At 38.1% G+C, this 18,938-nt stretch overlaps 1 protein-coding gene across 4 annotated transcripts in view; it reads left to right on the top strand.

Annotated features, from left to right (window-relative positions):
- The window catches only part of PDCL2 (phosducin like 2), a 35,727-nt gene that overhangs the window by 5,279 nt on the left and 11,510 nt on the right, over positions 1 to 18,938 (top strand). For all 4 annotated transcript variants that reach the window (XM_005265728.4, NM_152401.3, XM_011534374.3 and 1 more), the window contains exons 2-4: positions 4,730 to 4,850; positions 6,056 to 6,146; positions 17,106 to 17,249. In XM_005265728.4, the coding sequence (XP_005265785.1) occupies positions 4,730 to 4,850; positions 6,056 to 6,146; positions 17,106 to 17,249 (356 nt within the window). The remainder of the gene's footprint in view (positions 1 to 4,729; positions 4,851 to 6,055; positions 6,147 to 17,105; positions 17,250 to 18,938) is intronic.

Raw genomic sequence — 18,938 nt, 5'->3', positions numbered from 1 at the left:
AAAGAAGATCTCCAAATAGCCAATAAACACATGAAAAGATGCTTAACATCACTAATAATGAAGGGGATGCAGCTCAAAACCACAGTCTACTTCACACCCACTAGAATGTTTATGATAGAAAAGATGGGCAATAACAAAACTGTTGATAAGGATATAGACAAATTAGAATCCTTTTGCATTGCTGGTGGGAATGTAAAATTGCACAACTGCTGTGGAAAACTGGTAATTTCCTTCCAAATTAAACAGATATCATATGATTCAGTAATTCTCCTTCCAGGTATGTACCCAAAAGAATTGAAAGTAAGGACTTAAACAGATATTTGTATACCCATTTTTATAACAGCTTTATTCCTAATAATGAAAAGTGAAAACTACCCAAATGTCCATTGATGGATGAATAAACAAAATGTGGTATATAGGTACAATGGAATATTATTCAACCTTAAAAAAGAATGGAATTCTGCTACATGCTACAACATAGTCGAACCTTGAAAACATGCTAAGCGAAATAAGCCAGTCACAAAAGGACAACTATTGTATGGTTCCACCTGCATGAAGTACACAGAATAGTCAAATACATGGTAGAAAGTAGAACATGGAACAATGGTTTCCTGGAGTTTGGAAGAGGAGAGAATGAGGGGCTATTATTTAATGAGTACAGTTTTTCTATTACAGAAATGAATAACAGAGGAAATCTTAGAAAATTAACAAACATGTGGAAACTAAACAACATGCTACTGAACAACCAATGGGTCAAAGAAGAAATTAGAAGAGAAAGTTTAAAATATATTGAGAAAAACAAAAATGGAACTACAACAAAACCTATGGAAGGCAGCAGAAGCAGATTTAAGAGGGAAATGCATAGCAATAAATGCCTAAAACAAAAAAGAACAAACTAAGCTTATAGTTATCAGAAGGAAATAAATAACAAAGAGCAGAAATAAATGAAATAAAGACTAGAAAAACAATAGAAAAAATCAAGAAAATCTTTGGTTTTTTGAAAATATAAAATCAACAAAACCTTAGCTATACTAAGAATAAAGAAGACTCAGATAAAATCAGAAACAAAAGAGGAGGCCTTACAGCTGATACCACAGAAATACAAAGCATTGTAAGACATTAATATGAACAGTTACATGCCAATGGATTGGATAACCTAGAAGAAATGGATAAATCCATAGACACATATAGCCTACCAACAGTGGATCAAGAAGAAATACAAAATCTAAACAGACCAATAACAAATAAGGAGATTGAATAAAAAATTAAAAGGCTCCCATCAACGAAAAGTCCGGGACCTGATGCCTTCACCAGTAAATTTGACCAAACATTTCAAGGAGAACTAATAACAATCCTTCTTAAACTCTTCCAAAAATAGAAAAGGAAGGAATACTTCTAAATCTTTGTGTGTGTGTGTGTGTGTCTGTGTGTGTGTGTGTGTGACAGTATCTCACTTTGTCTCCCAGGCTGGAGTGCAATGGCGCAATCTCGGCTCACTGCAACCTCCGCCTCCCGGGTTCAAGTGATTCTCCTGCCTCAGTCTCCCGAGTAGCTGGGATTACAGGTGCCTGCCACTGTGCCCAGCTAATTTTTGTATTTTTAGTAGAGACAGGGTTTCACCATGTTGGCCAGGCTGGTCTCGAACTCCTGACTTCAGGTGATCTACCCACCTCGGCCTGCTAAAGTCCTGGGATTATAGGCATGAGCCACTGCACCCAGCCCTAAATCTTTTTAATGAGATCAGCATTACCTTGACATCAAAGCCAGACCTGGACATTACAAGAAAAGAAAATTACAAGCCATTATCTCTGAGGAACACAGATGTAAAAATCCCCAACAAAATACTAGCAAACTGAAGTCAACAGCACATTAAAAGAATAATGTACCACAATTAAGTGGGATTTATCTTGTGGATGCAAGGATGTTTCAGCATACGCAAATCTACAAATATGACACACCACATTAACAGAATTATGGACAAAAATCATATGATCATCTTGTTAGATGCAGAAAAAACATTCAACCAAATTTAATATCCTTTCATGATAAAAACTTGCAACAAATTAGGTATAGAGGGAATGTACCTCAGCACAATAAAGGCATATACAACAAGCCTACAGATGATATTCAATGGTAAAGTTGAAAGGTTTTTTTCGTAGACAAGGATGCCCATTCTCACTACTTCTATTCAATATAGTACCAGAGGTCTTTGCCAGAGCAAGTAAGCAAGAGAAATAAATAAAAGGCATCCAAACAGGTAAGGAAATAGTGAAATTGTTGCTGTTTGCTGATGATGTAATCTTGTATATGTAAAACCCTAAAGTCCCCACCAAAAAAACTGTTAGAACTAATAAATGGATACAGTAAAGTTGCAGGATTCCAAAACAATATGAAAACTAGTAGCATTTCTGGCCAGGCATGGTGGCTCATACCTGTAATCCTAGCACTTTGAGAGGCCGAGATGGGTGAATCACTTGCAGCCAGGAGTTCGAGACCAGCCTGGCCAACATGGTGAAACCTCATCTCTACTAAAAATACAAAAATTAGCCGGGCGAGGTGGTAGGCACCTGTAGTCCCAGCTACTCGGGAGGCTGAGGCAGGAGAATCACTTGAACCCAGGAGGCAGAGGTTGCAGTGAGCTGAGTTTGCACCACTGCACTCCAGCCTGGGCGACAGAACGAGACTTCATCTCAAAAAACAAAACAAAACAAAACAACAACAACAAAAAAAAACTAGTAACATTTCTGTATACTAACAATGAACTATCAGAGAAAGAAATCAAGAAAATAATCCCATTTATAATATTTACAAAAAAGTAAATACTTAGGAATAAATTTAACCAAGGACATGAAAAATTCATAGACTGAAAATGATAAAACGTTGATGAAAGAAATTGAAGAAGACACAAATAAATAGGAAGATATTCCATGTTCATGGATTGGAAAAATTATTGTTAAAGTGTTCATATTACCCAAAGCAATCTGTAGATTCCATATAGTCCTTATCAAGATTCCAATATGCCCTTTTATACAGAAGTAGAAAAAGCAATTCTAAAATCCATATGGCACTACAAAAAACTCTGAATAGCTAAGACAATCTTGAGCAAAAAGAAGAAAACCAGAGGCATCACATTACCTGACTTCAAACTATATTGTAAAGCCATTGTAATCCAAACAGCGTGGTACTGGCATAAAATAGACATTGACCAATGGAGAACTCAAAAATGAACTCATGCATTTACAGTCAATTGATTTTTGACAAAGGGGACAAGAACACACAATGGGGAAAAGGACAGTCTCTTCAATAATGGGTGTTGGGAAACAGGATATCCACATATAGAAGAATTAAATTGGACCCTTATCCCACTCCATCTATAAAAATCAACTAAAAATGGATTAAAGACTTAAATATAAGACCTGAAATTGTGAAAATATTATACAAGAAGAAAACACAGGGGAAAAACTACACACTATTGGTCCAAGCAGTGAATTTTTGGATTTAATCCCCCAAGCTCAGTCAACAAAAGCAAAAATAGACAAGATTACATCGAACTAAAAAGCTTCTGCACAGCAAAGGAAACAGTTAACAAAGTGAAGAGACAATCTATATATTGGGAAAAACTATTTACAAGCAATACACTTGACATGGCATTACTACTTAAAATATATACAGAACTCAAATAACAGTAGTAAGAAAACAACCCAATTTTAAAATTAGCAAAGATAATCCCAGCAGTTTGGAAGGCTGAGGAGGGAGGATCACTTGAGGCCAGGAGTTCAAGACCAGCTGGAGCAACATGGGGAAACCCTGTAAAAATACAAACATTAGCTGGGCCTGGTGGAGCAAGCCTGTAGTCTCAGCTACTCAGGAGGCTGAGGCATGAGAATTACTTGAACCCAGGAGGTGGAGGTTGCAGTGAGCCAAGATTGTGCCACTGCATTCCAGCTTGGGTGATAGAGCAAGAATCTCTCTGTCTCAAAAAAAATAAAATAAAATAAAAGGGAATACTATGCAGCCATAAAAAAGGATGAGTTCATGTCCTCTGTAGGGACATGGATGAAGCTGGAAACCATCATTCTCAGCAAACTGTCACAGGGACAAAAAACCAAACACCACATGTTCTCACTCATAGGTGGGAATTGAACAATGAGAACACTTGGACACGGGAAGGGGAACATCACACACCGGGGCCTGTCATGGGCTTGGGGGAGGGGGGAGGGATAGCATTAGGAGATATACCTAATGTAAATGACGAGTTAATGGGTGCAGCACACAAACATGGCACATGTATGCATATGTAACAAACCTGCACATTGTGCACATGTACCCTAGAACTTAAAGTATAATAAAAAAAAGAAAAAAGGAAGTTCATCTGATGGTCTTGAATGCTTCTGTAGAAAAAGAAACCAAACTGTATTTGTGTATGATGTGAATTGGTTTTGCCCAATACAGTCTTCAGCAAATTTTCCATGACTTAGGAGATACTTCCTTAATATTCTCTATATGTATTCTAAATTGATATTTTATTAAAATTTTGAGTGGAGCATATAATCCCATTAGTGCTGGGAAGCAGGAAAAAGTAGGTCACTTTGCTTTATTCTTCAAAACCAATTAACTGTAGAGTTCATGAACAATTGAATACTTGGAAGTGCTACATCTTAATGAATTTTCCAAATACATATTAAAGTGTACAACCATGTTAATTTTCTTTTCTTTTCTTTTTGTGTAGGATCCCAATGAAGATACAGAATGGAATGACATTTTAAGAGATTTCGGCATTCTTCCTCCTAAAGAAGAGTCAAAAGATGAAATTGAAGAAATGGTTTTACGTTTACAGAAAGAAGCAATGGGTATGGTCGTAGATTTGGTGGGCTGGATGATGGGAATAATACAGTTAAGTTAGTACTAAGGTATTTCATGAACATAGTGGGAGAGAGGACATTAGAAATCATTTAGTATAGGCTGGGCATGGTGGCTCACACCTGTAATCCCAGCACTTTGGGAGGCTGAGGCCAGCGGATCACGAGGTCAGGAGATCGAGACCATCCTGGCTAACACGGTGAAACCCCATCTCTACTAAAAATACAAAAACAAAATTAGCCAGGTGTGGTGGTGGGTGCCTGTAGTCCCAGCTACTCAGGAGGCTGAGGCAGTAGAATGGCATGAACCTAGGAGATGGAGCTTGCAGTGAGCTGAGATCGTGCCACTGCACTCCTGCACTGCTCTGGGCAACAGAGCAAGACTCCATCTCAAAAAACAAAACAAATAAACATTTAATATAACCCCCCTCAACTACTTTCAGTATTTGGATATGACACCTAAAATGACTAATTTCACATGTTGAAAATCACATGCTAATAACAGAGCTGAAATATCCTGGTGTGTAACCAAGTGAGCTTTCTTCTCCCACCATGTCCCTCTGCCTTATTACCATCTATTTTGATCATTCTTTATAGTATGTATTATTTATCAAGATTTCTAGGTACTTGAGGGAAATCTAAATTTATGAAATCTAATTGATTTTCATACCTAGTTTTAAATGTAGCCTGTCAGTTCTATGAACTTTGAGGGAGTAATACTTTAATATTATACTTTCTATAATATTTATAGCTTTTTTTGGTGGCTGGCTGCTTTATGTTTGTTTAAAGATACTCTTTTTTGTTTGTTTTTTTGAGACCAAGTCTAACTTTGTTGGCCAGGGTGGAATGCAGTGGTGCGATCTCAGCTCACTGCAAACTCAGCCATTCGGGTTCAAGTGATTCTCCTGCCTCAGCCTCCCGAGTAGCTAGGATTACAGGTGCCTGCCACCACACCTGACTAATTTTTGTATTTTTAGTAGAGATAGGGTTTCACCATGTTGGCCAGGTTGGTCTTGAACTCCTGACCTAAAGTGATCCACCCACCTCGACCTATCAAAGTACTGGGATTCCATCGCACCCGGCTGTTTAAAGATACTGTTGATCTCCTTTGTATAAGACGGTTTTTTTCTAGACATTGACTGTATAGTAAAAAAATTTTTAAACAATTTGATAATCTATAATTTATGTTGTTTTAGTGAAACCATTTGAAAAGATGACTCTTGCACAGCTAAAGGAAGCTGAAGATGAATTTGATGAAGAAGATATGCAGGCTGTTGAAACATATAGGTACAGTGATTCATTTGGGTTAATTATAAATTTTTGAATGAAGTATAATAAGAATAAAACTAAAGAGATTTGTCTTGTCACATAGATTTTACAAAGAACAAAACTAATTTTTAAGTAACATTTTGAAACTCCCTTTATATAAGGTGGAATTTTATTACATCATTACATCATTTTTTCTTAATATTTTGCCTTTGATTTAATAGAAAATTATCCAATCATGTACAATATAACTTCATCAAGCTACATACGATTAAAGTGGAAAATAGCAATAAGAGGCCAATAAAAAGATGGCCATGATTTTCCTTCTAGCATGATGTCTGTCAAAGGTGACTATCATTTCATGAATAATTAATTACTATTCTTAAATTATTTTAGAAACTGGAACAGGTTCATAAATTTCCCAACTTACTTCACAACTAAAATAAGTTGGGAAATGTATGAACCTGTTCTAATTTCTAAAGTACTTTTTACAAGACCAGTATTTATCCTGATACTAAAACCAGACAAAGACATCACTAAAACAGAGTACTACAAATATCCCTCATGACTGTAAACACAAAATCTTTAAGGAAATATTGGCAAATTAAGTCCAGCAATTTAAGGAAATAATAAATCTTGATCAAGTAGTATTGATTGCAGGAATGCAAGATCATTTTAACAATAAAAAAACAGTGGACCAGGCACAGTGGCTCATGCTTGTAATCCTAGCACTTTGGGAGGCTGAGGCAGACGGATCACCTGAGGTCGGGAGTTTGAGACCAGCCTGACCAACATGCAGAAACCCCGTCTCTACTAAAAATACAAAGTTAGCCAGGCATGGTGGTGCTTGCCTGTAATCCCAGCTACTCTGGAGGCTGAGGCAGGAGAATCGCTTGAACCCGGTGGGGCAGAGGTTGTGGTGAGCCAAGATTGCGCCATTGCACTCCAGCCTGGGCAACAAGAGCGAAACTCCACCTCGAAAAAAAAAACAAACAAAAAACCAGTGAATTGGGGCTGGGCACAGTGGCTCATGCCTGTAATCTCAGACTTTGGGAGGCTATGGTGGGAGGATTGCTTGAGGCTAGGAGTTACAGACCAGCCTGGTCAACATAGTAAGACCCTGTCTCTACAAAACAAAAATAAAAACCAAAAGCCACCAGTGAATGGAGTTACAACAGCCATACTCCAGGAGCAATGAGCACATATAGCACTCAGATCTTTCTGAGGCAGGGTGCGGTGACCCACACCTGTAATTCCAGCACTTTGGAAGGCCAAGGCGGGTGGATCACCTGAGGTCAGGAGTTTGAAACCAGCCTGGCAAACATGATGAAACCCGTGTCTTTAAATTAGCCAGGCGTTGTAGCACATGCCTGTAATCCCAGCTACTTGAGAAGCTGAGGCAGGAGAATCGCTGAACCTGGGAGGTGGAGGTTGCAGTGAGCCAAGATCGTGCCATTGCACTCCAGCCTGGGCAACAAGAGTGAAACTCCATCTCAAACAAACAAACAAACAAACAAAAAACAAATAAATACTATTCTCTAATAACAGGAATTAGTGCTCCTTAGCGAACTGCTTGATCCCACGGTGTGTGTTAGGAAAGTATAATATGAATATGAAGCATCTTATGTTGCCAGTAGGTAAGGAAGTACTTAAAAAAAAAAAAAGTCCCAGGAGTCAAATGGACAGATCTCCCAAGGGCCAAAGTTAGAACAACTTGAACAACAAAATCAATAATTATATGATAGGATTGTAAAGCAAATAATGAAATAAATTTATAAAAGTCCATAGTGATATAAATAAATAACTTAATACATGAACAAATTTGGAAGAAGTAATCTCTCTCCCTTACAGAAGAGTTTTAATTAATAAGTGTAAATGAAATTAGAGAAATAGAAAAATCACCATCAGAACAGTGGTAATTTCCTATGGGTAAGATCCAGTGATGGATGCTAAAATGATTGGTTGAAAGTTTAAACACAAACAGGATATTGCATAATTTCAAAGAATTCTTCCCCAAATATTTAGTAATTATAAAGGAGGAAATAGTAAGTTTATAGGCAGATACTATCTTAGGCAGATGATCAAGGTTAATATCACCAGTAAAATATGCTGGGAGGTGATCAAGTAACCCCTGGTATGTTGTACTGAGAAGGACATATCACCTCTGTGGTATCATTTTCAGTAATGCATAACTTTAATTATAAGAAAACTTCAAATAAACCCTAATTGAAGAACTCATTAAAAAAAAAAACCCACTGATGACACATCAGGGAAAATAGCAGAATAGGGAACTCCAAAAATACATCTCTACCTAATCAAAGATTGTACTAGCAGGAACTGTCTGAAGTGACTGTTTTAGTACTCTGGAGAATATTGAATGCTTGTAGTTTCCAAGTGAAAACTTGGCTGGTAAATGGCAGTATCAGTTGATTTCAGCCCTCAGTTCAGTAGCAGCTGTTCATGCTCAACCCCTAGCTCCATGACAGGCAGCTGACAACCTGTATTTCTGACACAGCTTGCTGGAGCCAGGGTGGACAATAAGGACCTTTTCCTCCAAATATTGGGGTTCTGTGTTCTTATTACAGATTGCTCCTTCTGAACATGGATGTACAGGGACAGAGGCTCACTGCCATTGTGTGAACTCCCACTGGCTCAGGCAGCTATCAGAGAATTTAAAAGAGCTATAACCTTTTTTAAAGATTCAAAACAAACTGTGCTTTTGGGAAAATATAGAAAGCCAGTGCATTTACTCCGGGGAAGATGCAGGCTCAAAAAATACCTGAGAAGACCTTAAAGCTTCTACCTCAGAATGATCGCCAGCACAAAGACAGCCTACAACAATTAAAACAAAAACAAAAACAAAACCCCAGCAAAGGAGGAGAACTTATTTCCAAAGTTACCACATTATAGGATTCAAATATCTAGTTTTCAACAAAAATCACAAGGCATACACAAACAAGAAAGTATAGTCCATTCAAAGGAACAAAATATACTGACAGAAAATGTACTTGAGGAAGCCCAGAAGTCAGACTTACTAGACAAAGACTTTAAGACAACTATCTTACGGATGCTTAAAGAGCTAAAAAGATAGGAATATAATGTATGATCAAAAAGAGAATATCAATAAAGAAATAGAAGTTATAAACAGGAATAAAAGATATTCTGGAACTGTGATAATGAGAAATATATATCTGATCTTTGTCCCCAGTTCCTGACACAAACATACTTGGAATTTGCTAGGTGATAAAAGTACCTTTGGTATGCTTATGAGATGATCCTTGGTGGAGGGGATCCTAGTAGCTTTAGGATGAGGGCTGGTTGCCAGAGGAACCAACCATGTGATTAGAAGGTTAGAACTTTTAACACTATTCCCTGCTCTCTGGAGAGGGGAGAGGGGCTAGAGATTGAGTTAATCACCAGTGGCCAACGATTTAGTCAATCATGCCTATCTAATGAAACCTCCATAAAAACCACTAAATGATGGTGCTGTGGTCTGAATGTTTGTGTCCCCCCCAAATTCATATGTTGAAACCTAATCCCCTCCCAATGTGATGGCATTAAGAGGTGGAGCCTTAGGGAGGTAATTAGGTCATGAGGGCTACCCCTTTATGAACGGGATTAATGCTCTTATAAAAGAGGCCTGAGAAGGCCAGGCACAGTGGCCCATGCCTGTAATCCCAGCACTTTGGGAGACCAAGGCAGGCGGATCACCTGAGTCAGGAGTTCGAACCAGCCTGGCCAACATGGTGAAACCCTGTTTCTACTAAAATACAAAAATTAGTTGGGTGTAGTGGCCTGTACCTGTAATCCCACCTACTCGGGAGGCTGAGGCAGGAGAATTGCTTGAATCTGGGAGGCAGAGGTTGCAGTGAGCCGAGATTGTGCCACTGCACTCCAGCCTGGGCGACAGAGCAAGACTCCGTCTCAAAAAAAAAAAAGGACTGAGAAATCTGGAACATGCTTTTTTTAAAATTTGTTTTGCCAGTCTTTGCCTTTAGTTGGAGATTAATCATATTAATTTAAAATTCACTTACATTTAAAGTAAGTACTGTTAAGAAAGGAGTTGCTTCTGCTACTTAGGTGTTTTCTGTATTTCTTACATAATTTTTGTTTTTTAAGTCTTCCATTACTGCTTTCTTTTCACAGTTAGCTGATTTTTCTAGTGTACCATTTTTATTTCCTTCTTCTTTCATTTTCTGTGTATCTTTTAGTTTTTTCATAGTGATTATCTTAAGGATAAAAATTAACGTCTTACAGTGGCCTACTTTGAATAATACCAACTTAGAGTCAATAGCATGTAAACACATCTCCATCCTTCTCCTTATTTGTTAGTGTCACAGACTACATTGTTATATATTGTGCATCCATTAACATAGATTATTATTATTGCTTTATGTATTTACCTTTTATATCATACAGGAAAAAAAGAGAAGTTAGAAACCAACTCTAGGCCAGGCATGATGGCTTACGCCTGTAATCCCAGTGCTTTGGGAGGCAGAGGTGGGCAAATCGCCTGAGTTCAGGAGTTTGAGACCAGCCTGGCCAACATGGTGAAACCCCGTCTCTAATAAAAATACAAAAAATTTAGCTGGGCATGGTGGCACACCCCTGTAATCCCAGCTACTCAGGAGGCTAGGTGTGAGAATTGCTTGAACCTGGGAGGCAGAGGTTGCAGTAAGCTAAGATCGCGCCACGGCACTCCAGCCTAGGCAACAAAGCAAGACTGTCTCAAAAAGAAAAAAAAAAGAAACCAATTCCAATAATGGCTTTTACATTTTCCTATGTAAAAGCCAAATGGTAATACTGGCTATTATATTTCCCTATGTAGTTAACTTCACCATGTTCCTCGTTTCTTCATGTGGCTTTGGATACTATCTGGTGCTCTTTCATTTCAGCCTGAAGGACTCCTTTCACATATTTTTTAGGCAGGTCTAGGTCCCTTGGTGTTTTTTTGTTTTTATTTTTATTTTTTAAATCTAGGAATGCATTAATTTACCCTCATTCTTGAAGCATAGTTTTGCCAAATATCGAATTCTTGCTTTTGACAGTTGTTTTCTCTCAGCATTTAAAAAATATCAACTCACTGCCTTTTTGGCTTCCAAAATTTCTGCTGAGAAACTGGCTGATAGTCTTATTGAAGATCCCTTGTATGTGATGACTTGCTTCTCTCTGCTTTCAAGATTCTCATTGTCTCTTCTTGCCTTTCAGTAGTTTATGATGTATCCCCATGTGGGTGTCTTTGAGTTTATCATACTTTTATCATACTTGGAGTTTGTTGGACACTTGAGTTTATAGATTAATGTATTTCATCAAATTTGGGAAGTTTTCAGCCATTATTTCTTAAAATATCCTTTATGCTTCTTTTCTCTCTCTTTTCTGTTGAGATTCACACAACATGTGTGTTGGTCTGCTTTATATCATCCCACAGACCCTTTAGGCCCTGTTTATTTTTTTTTCATTCTTTTTTTTTTCTCAGATTTGATCATTGCAGTTGTCCTATTTTCAAGGTTGCTGATTCTTCTGCTTCCTCAAATCTGCTTTTGGAACTCTCCAATGTATTTTTTTAATTTTAGTTACTGTACTTTTTAGTTCCTCTGGTATGTTTTACTCATACCACTTCTGACATGAAATGTTGGGGCAGGGTCCCCCACAACCAATTCTCCAACTTTCTGGACACCAACTGGGTGTTCTACAATTCATTTCAATTCTGACACTAACTATTGGAGTTAGGGAAGACCCCACATTGGGAGACTACTTCAAACACACTAAGGTGGTTATAATAAATAAATTGGTGAGGATTGGAACCCTTTGAATTGCCACTGGGAATGTAAATGGTACAGCCACTTTGAAAAACAGTCTGGTGGATCCTCAAAAGGTTAAATATAAAGTTAGCATATGACCCAGCAATTCCACTTCTAGGTATATACCCAAGAAAATTCAAAACATGTATAGGAATGGCCATAGCAACATTATTCACAATAACCTCAAAATGGAAACAATCTAAATGTCATCAGTCTATACAGTGGAATACTATTCAGCCATAATTCAAATGAAATGAAGTACCAATATGTTCTACAACATGGATGAAAACATGCTAGGGGAAAGAAACCAGTACAAAAAGTCATAGAGACAGAACACAATTATTGGTTACCAGGGCCTAGGATAGGGGATAGGGAGTAACTACAAATAGATATGGGTTTATTGTGGAGTGATGAAAATGTTTTTGAATTAGGTAGTGGTGATGGTTGCACAATTCTTTGATGCTTATCCTATAGTTCTCCTGAGTAGCTCTCCTCCAGGCAATGACTATGAACCTGGGCTGTTTCATTAGGGGCTACATAATCTCAGAAACCTTTACTTCCAGTTGTGTGAATCAGAAAGTGTGAAAGGTCACGTGGGACATTTTAGGGGTGAGTCATTGAAATGTATATATCACTTTCACTCATGTGGCATGGGTTGTAATCTAGTCTCATGACCCTAATCCAACTGCAGGGCAAGCTGGCAAATGTAGTCTTTCAGGTAAATGTAGCTTCCCCAGAAGAGAAAGCTACAATGATGATCACCCTACCTGTCTCTACCACAGAGATTAAAGAGCGATACCATAAATAGAAATTCTTTTATTTGTGTATTCCACATCAAAATCACAAATTTAGTTGCCACCAAATTATGGCATTATTTTCATTTCTGTACCTGAATGTTTAAAAATATTACTTGTTCTTAAGAAATTCTGTACTTATCTTGCTAGTGCTGATTTAAAGCAAATTCCTCATTTAAAGTAAAAACAAAACAGCAAGAAAATATTTTTTAAAAACTAGTGATAAATGGGAGGCTGAGGCAGGAGAATCGCTTGAACCTGGGAGGCAGAGGTTGCAGTGAGCCGAGACCATGCCACTGCACTCCAGCCTGGTGACAGAGCGAGACTCTGTCTCAAAAAAAAAAACAAACAAAAAACAAACAAAAACTAGTGATAAGCTAAAGTAATGGAACTTTTTTTTTACTTGATAAAAATTTTAACAAACATTAAAAGTTACTATTATGAGAAAAAGAAGAATTGTTCACTATCATGTCTGTTTTTTTTTGTGGGGGAGAGGAGGACAGAGTCTTGCTCTGTTGCCCCAGCTGGAGTGCAGTGGCCCAGTCTCAGGTCACTGCAGCCTCTGTCTCCTGGGCTCAAGTGATTATCCTACCTCAGTCTCTGGAGTAGCTGGGACTACAGGCACATGCTACCACGCCCGGCTAATTTTTGTATTTTTTGGTAGAGACAGCATTTCACCACGTTGGCCAGGCTGGTCTCGAACTCCTGACCTCAAGTGATCTGCCCGCCTTGGCCTCCCAAAGTGCTGGGATTACAGGCTTAAGCCATGACGCCAGGCCTCATCTCTGTTATTAAACACCATACAATAGGTCCTAGCCAGTACCTTCGGACAAGATTTCTTTTAAAAAAAGATGTAATATTCAAAAAAGGAGAGACAAATGTTATTGTGTAGATAATTAGCTGTAAAATAACAAGGGAGTCAGCTCAGAAGCTCTTCTAGCTAAAAAGATGAAAAAAATTTATACACAGCAATAAACAAATCTGCAGTATATTGTTTGTGGCATATAATACTAAATTGGCCTTTTTGACATATATTCCCCTTTCTCTTGGTGTATTCCAGTACCATGGAAGCTAAAAAACTAAAAGGATATTTCTCAGACTTTATTGCAATAAAGGTAAAGAATATGATTTAGACATTTCACCGGGGATTTGAATTCAGAATTAAGTGGGGAAAGAAGTAGAAACACACAGCCGGGCGCGGTGGCTCATGCCTGTAATCCCAGCACTTTGGGAGGCCGAGGTGGGCAGATCACAAGGTCAGGAGATCGAGACCATCCTGGCTAACACGGTGAAACCCTGTCTCTACTAAAAATAGAAAAATTAGCCTGTTGTGATGGCGGGCGCCTGTAGTCCCAGCTACCCGGGAGGCTGAGGCAGGAGAATGGCGTGAACCCGGGAGGCGGAGCTTACAGTGAGCCGAGATCACCCACTGCACTCCGGCCTGGGCGACAGAGACAGACTCCATCCCAAAGAAAAAAAAGAAGAAGAAGAAACACACAAAGCATCCATTTAGTTGGTACTAATCTAGAATTTGCATCATGGTTTTGGAGCCATTATTCTTTTTTTGTTTTATAATTTCAACTTTTATTGTAGATTCAGGGGATGCACATGCAGGCTTGTTACACTGGTATATTGCATGATGCTGAGGTTTGGGATATGATTGATCCCCTCATCCAGGTGTGGAGCATAGTATCCAATGGAGCCATTATTTTGGCAACAGTTTCTCATCCTCAGATTGTTACTAAGGAGATAGGTTTCTAGAGACAAAAGTTGTTACACTGGCTTTCTGATTCTCAGAATAGTTTGATAGTAAAGCCAACAATAGTGTGGTAGTTCCAGATTCCCTAGTTTCTGGATTGTGGTAGAGAAAGCCTTGGCATACCAGTTTTGCATGTTGTTCTGGGAGTCATTCCTGGTATCCCAGTCTAGAGCCTGCTCCTTCTTTTTATTGGGTTGATAAAGCATTTAATTCCCCCCATATTAAGTTCTTTTCTGCTTAAAATAGCTAGTGGGCCTTCTGTTTATGCAACTGAATCCCAACTGATAGGCTTGTTAGGTGAAAAACGCAGGCCATTGAACACTGTTTGAACTTCTAATGGCAAAACCAGCCCATGTATTTACTGTTCTCCCCTGCCCAATTCCACTGAAATAACAGAGAAATGAGAAGGAGGAAGAAGTGGAAGAGGAGAGGAGGAAGGGAAGTTGTTGATAGTTGCACCATTAGAGCATGGTGTCATCATTGGAACAAGAATATTTTGAAATTTCTGAATGATATTAAGCCAGTAAGATCAAATTGCGGGAAGTTAGATACTCGGTGCAAACAAAGTAGGGCTCCCATAAGAACTGTGGAGTAACTCTAGGTTCCAAATATCTGGGCCAGTGGAGGAAAAATTGAAGGACTTCAATTTGAAAACTATGAGAGGTCCCCAGCCTTGGGTTACTATCCTTGGCATTCTCCTCTGGGTTTGATTTTGCTTGGATTACTGGTTATGTAAAGTAAGAGATTTTACTTGAAATGTTTCTAGCATGGGAAATAAGGTCAAAAATTTTTTTTTTTTTTGAGATGGAGTCTCACTCTGTCGCCCAGGCTGGAGTGCAGTGGCACAATCTCAGCTCACTGCAACCTCCGCCTCCCGGGTTCAAGTGATTCTCCTGCCTCAGCCTCCCGAGTAGCTGGGACCACAGGCGCCCGCCACCATGCCCGGCTAATTTTTTGTATTTTTAGTAGAGACGGGGTTTCACCATGCTAGCCAGGATGGTCTCGATCTCCTGCCCTCGTGATCTGCCCGCCTCGGCCTCCCAAAGTGCTGGGATTACAGGAGTGAGCCACTGCGCCCAGCTAAAAATGTTTTAAAATATACCCAGGGTTTTGTTTTTATTCAAGTGTGTCAGGATATGGTTGCTATTGAAAGGATAGTTGGTTACTCACAGTTTCCAAGGGAGGGGTGCATGCCACATCATGCCACACAGGGGCCATGCAGTGAAGCACCTGAATTGATCAGAAGTCAGAAGGAGCAAGGGGAAAGCATGGGCATAAGGCTTCCATTATGGTTTCTGTGGGAAACACATGGCAAGGCAGGGTAAGCAGAGTTAGGATTGGCTAGTTTCAATAATTTTGGTGGGCTCTGGGCTGTAGAGGCTATCTCTAGTTGTTTGGTACCTGGCCCTGGAATGATTAGGGCAGGGGATCATGGCTCAGTCTGATAAATGAAGTGATTGAGGGTATGGGCCCTAGATTGATTTGCGTTTGAACAGTGTTTGCTATTTCATGGAGTTCACTAGCCCTGGGAGGGGCAGACTCTACAGAATCAGCAATGTGTCAGATGCCAGAGCATCAAGAATACATAAAATAAGAAAATATGGTTAATACACAGAGAAAGAAAAGGAGTAAATACTTCCAGCAAACTTAGAGGTATAGAATCATTAAATGTTAATAAACTTGCAGACAGTCAGAAACCATTTAGATTTGCTTCATGAATCCAGGCGTTCAACAGCGAAATTGTCAAATTATGTAAATGTTGAGAGAGTTGGTTTTTTAAACAGTTTCAAGGTTCTCTATGGATAGATAAATAGGTAGCAACATTTATTGAATGCTCACAGTGTGTCAGGCACCCTGCTAAGAAATTTACATGTATTATTTCATTTTTTTCCCAGTAATCCCTTGTGAGTAGCTATTAGTATTATTCCCATGTACAGTTAGGGAAACTGAAGTGTAGAGAGATTAAACAACTTGCCCAAGTTTATGCTATTAACAAGTACTGGAACTGGCATTTAAACCCAGTGTAGTCTGAGCTTAGAATCCAAGCTCATAATCACTCTCCTCTACTACCTCTCTGTCTATAATAAATCTATATTTATAACAAGTAATTACAAATATCCACAAAGTCTTCGAAGTGAAGATCATCTTAGCATGACTGTTACTAACATTTAAATGGGGATAATAATAGTACTGGCTTTGTAACATTTTTACAAGGATTAAGTTCATTAATGTTATGTATTTAAAATAGTGCCTGGTAACATAGCAAGCACTTGGTTAATGTTGGATATCATTATTCTCCTTAATGAAGTATTCAACTTGTACATGAGAATTTGTTGGCACAACATCTAGATAAACTCTCTATAGCTATGATTTAAACCTAGTCTTAAATACAAACAAATTTAAAAGTCAATAGCAAACTTCTTACACTTTCCAATAACCATGATAACACAAATTTGCATATAAAAAGAGAAATTGGTTTTATAAGATCATTCATGGTTATCCCATCATTTAAAGTGTTTGATATGGATAGGCATTATATTCATTGCCCTAAATTGTTATTACATATGAGAATGACCTTAAGAATATGACAGTATTCTTATGTAATTTAATTTCATGTTTTAATTAGAAAGAAGCGGTTACAGGAATGGAAAGCTCTTAAGAAAAAACAAAAATTTGGAGAATTAAGAGAAATTTCTGGAAATCAGTATGTGAATGAAGTCACAAATGCAGAAGAAGATGTGTGGGTTATAATTCATCTATACAGATCAAGGTAATTACCATAATATTTCAAAATGTTAATATACTACTATTTTAAAAGACATATTTTTGGTTTTAAGGTTTTACAAAGTATATAACAGTACTCAAGAAAAAGCAACTATATATTGCACACATATACATCCATAGAGGTTTTGATAGTCATTGGCTTCAGGGATTAAATTAGGTATTTTAAGATCTTTTCATTTCTAATTTCAGGAACTTGTCACACTTTTTAGAAAAATAAGCACTCTTTGGTAGTTTTGTTAAAAACTTTTTATTATAGAATATCTCAAAAACAGAGAAGTGGAAGGAATGAGAAAATGAACACTCTAAATATCGACCATACAGATTCAACAAGTAACCTTCTGCCATATTTATATAACTGTTTCTGTGTGTGTGTATATTTGCATTTGTAGAAAGTGAACTGAAAGTAAACTGAACATAGCATGATGATTTATTCCTGTGTACTTCAGCATGCACCTTCAAAACATAAAGGTGTTGGAAAGAAAAAAAAATTATATTTCCTCTACCCATTTTAGGTTTATTGGCTGGGGCCCTGCAAGTTGGACTGACAAAAGACAGGTTAACAAGAGAAAAACAAACAGAAGTCTATTTACAAGTGCATTACACATACACATAGGAGAGCTCAGTGATAAGTAACTCAAAGGGGTGGTTAGAACTTGGGCTTATATAGATTCTTAACAAAAGAACAGCAAATTTGTAGAGAATTGATAAGACAACAGAAAGGGTCTTTGAGCTTCTAGGAGTGACAAACTGTGGGATGGTAAATACATGGGTGAAACTATGTATTCAACTTGTTGAATCTATATGGTCGATATTTAGAGTGTTTAATTTAATCAAAATTAAAGGTTGTTTTAGCAAGGTTTGTTATATAGATTCCTCTGGTGCCTCACTGGAATGATAAGAATCTAGAGCTTTATCCAGTGATTAAGAGTGTCCTGCCCTTCCTGGTAGAGACAGGAGTGAGGATGTTACTGGGTGGAGAATATTTTTCTTGTGTCTGTTTCTTTTCAGTTGTCTTTAGCTCAAAATAATCCTTATGCCAGAGTGGCTTATTTTGGTGTGGTATACTATGAATCCCTTCAAGAACGTTCTTCTACATAACCACAATACCATTTTCTCACCTAACAAAATTAACAGTAATTCCTAATACCATCTAATACGTCGTCCTTACTCAGATTTTCCCGACTGACTTAAAAATATCTTTTATGAATACATATGTTTTGGACAAGGAGTCAATCAAGAATTATGCAGCACATTTAGATATATCAGCTCTCTGAAGTCTCTTCTAATAGAACAATTTCCCTGCACCCCTGCACTCCCCCATTCCTCCAAGACAGTTAATTTAAAAATACCTGGTTGTACTAAGTATAACCCACTGTCCCTAGGCCTCACCAGTCTTGCCTAGTAAATGGGGAAAGTAGACTTTTGAATGTTTCTCTCGTTCAGTCCTTCTAGCTTTAGGTCCCTACCCCTCTGCCTCAGGGCTATAAACCATTCTAGGAACAGAGGCCATGACAGCAACCTTCACTGTCCTTATCTCAATCTCTGAATAATAAATGTTTTTATCTTTAGGTCCTCAGGGAAATTATATACAGAGCAATTTATGCAAATTATAGCCCTGTATATAACCCTGTATAGCCTGTATGGCTATACTTCGCAGTTCCTGAGTCAAATTTTG

Source organism: Homo sapiens, chromosome 4 (genome assembly GCF_000001405.40).
Source record: "Homo sapiens chromosome 4, GRCh38.p14 Primary Assembly".
NCBI lineage: Eukaryota > Metazoa > Chordata > Mammalia > Primates > Hominidae > Homo > Homo sapiens.
Note: the sequence above shows the minus strand (reverse complement) of the source record. Positions and strands in the feature narration are given on the sequence as shown.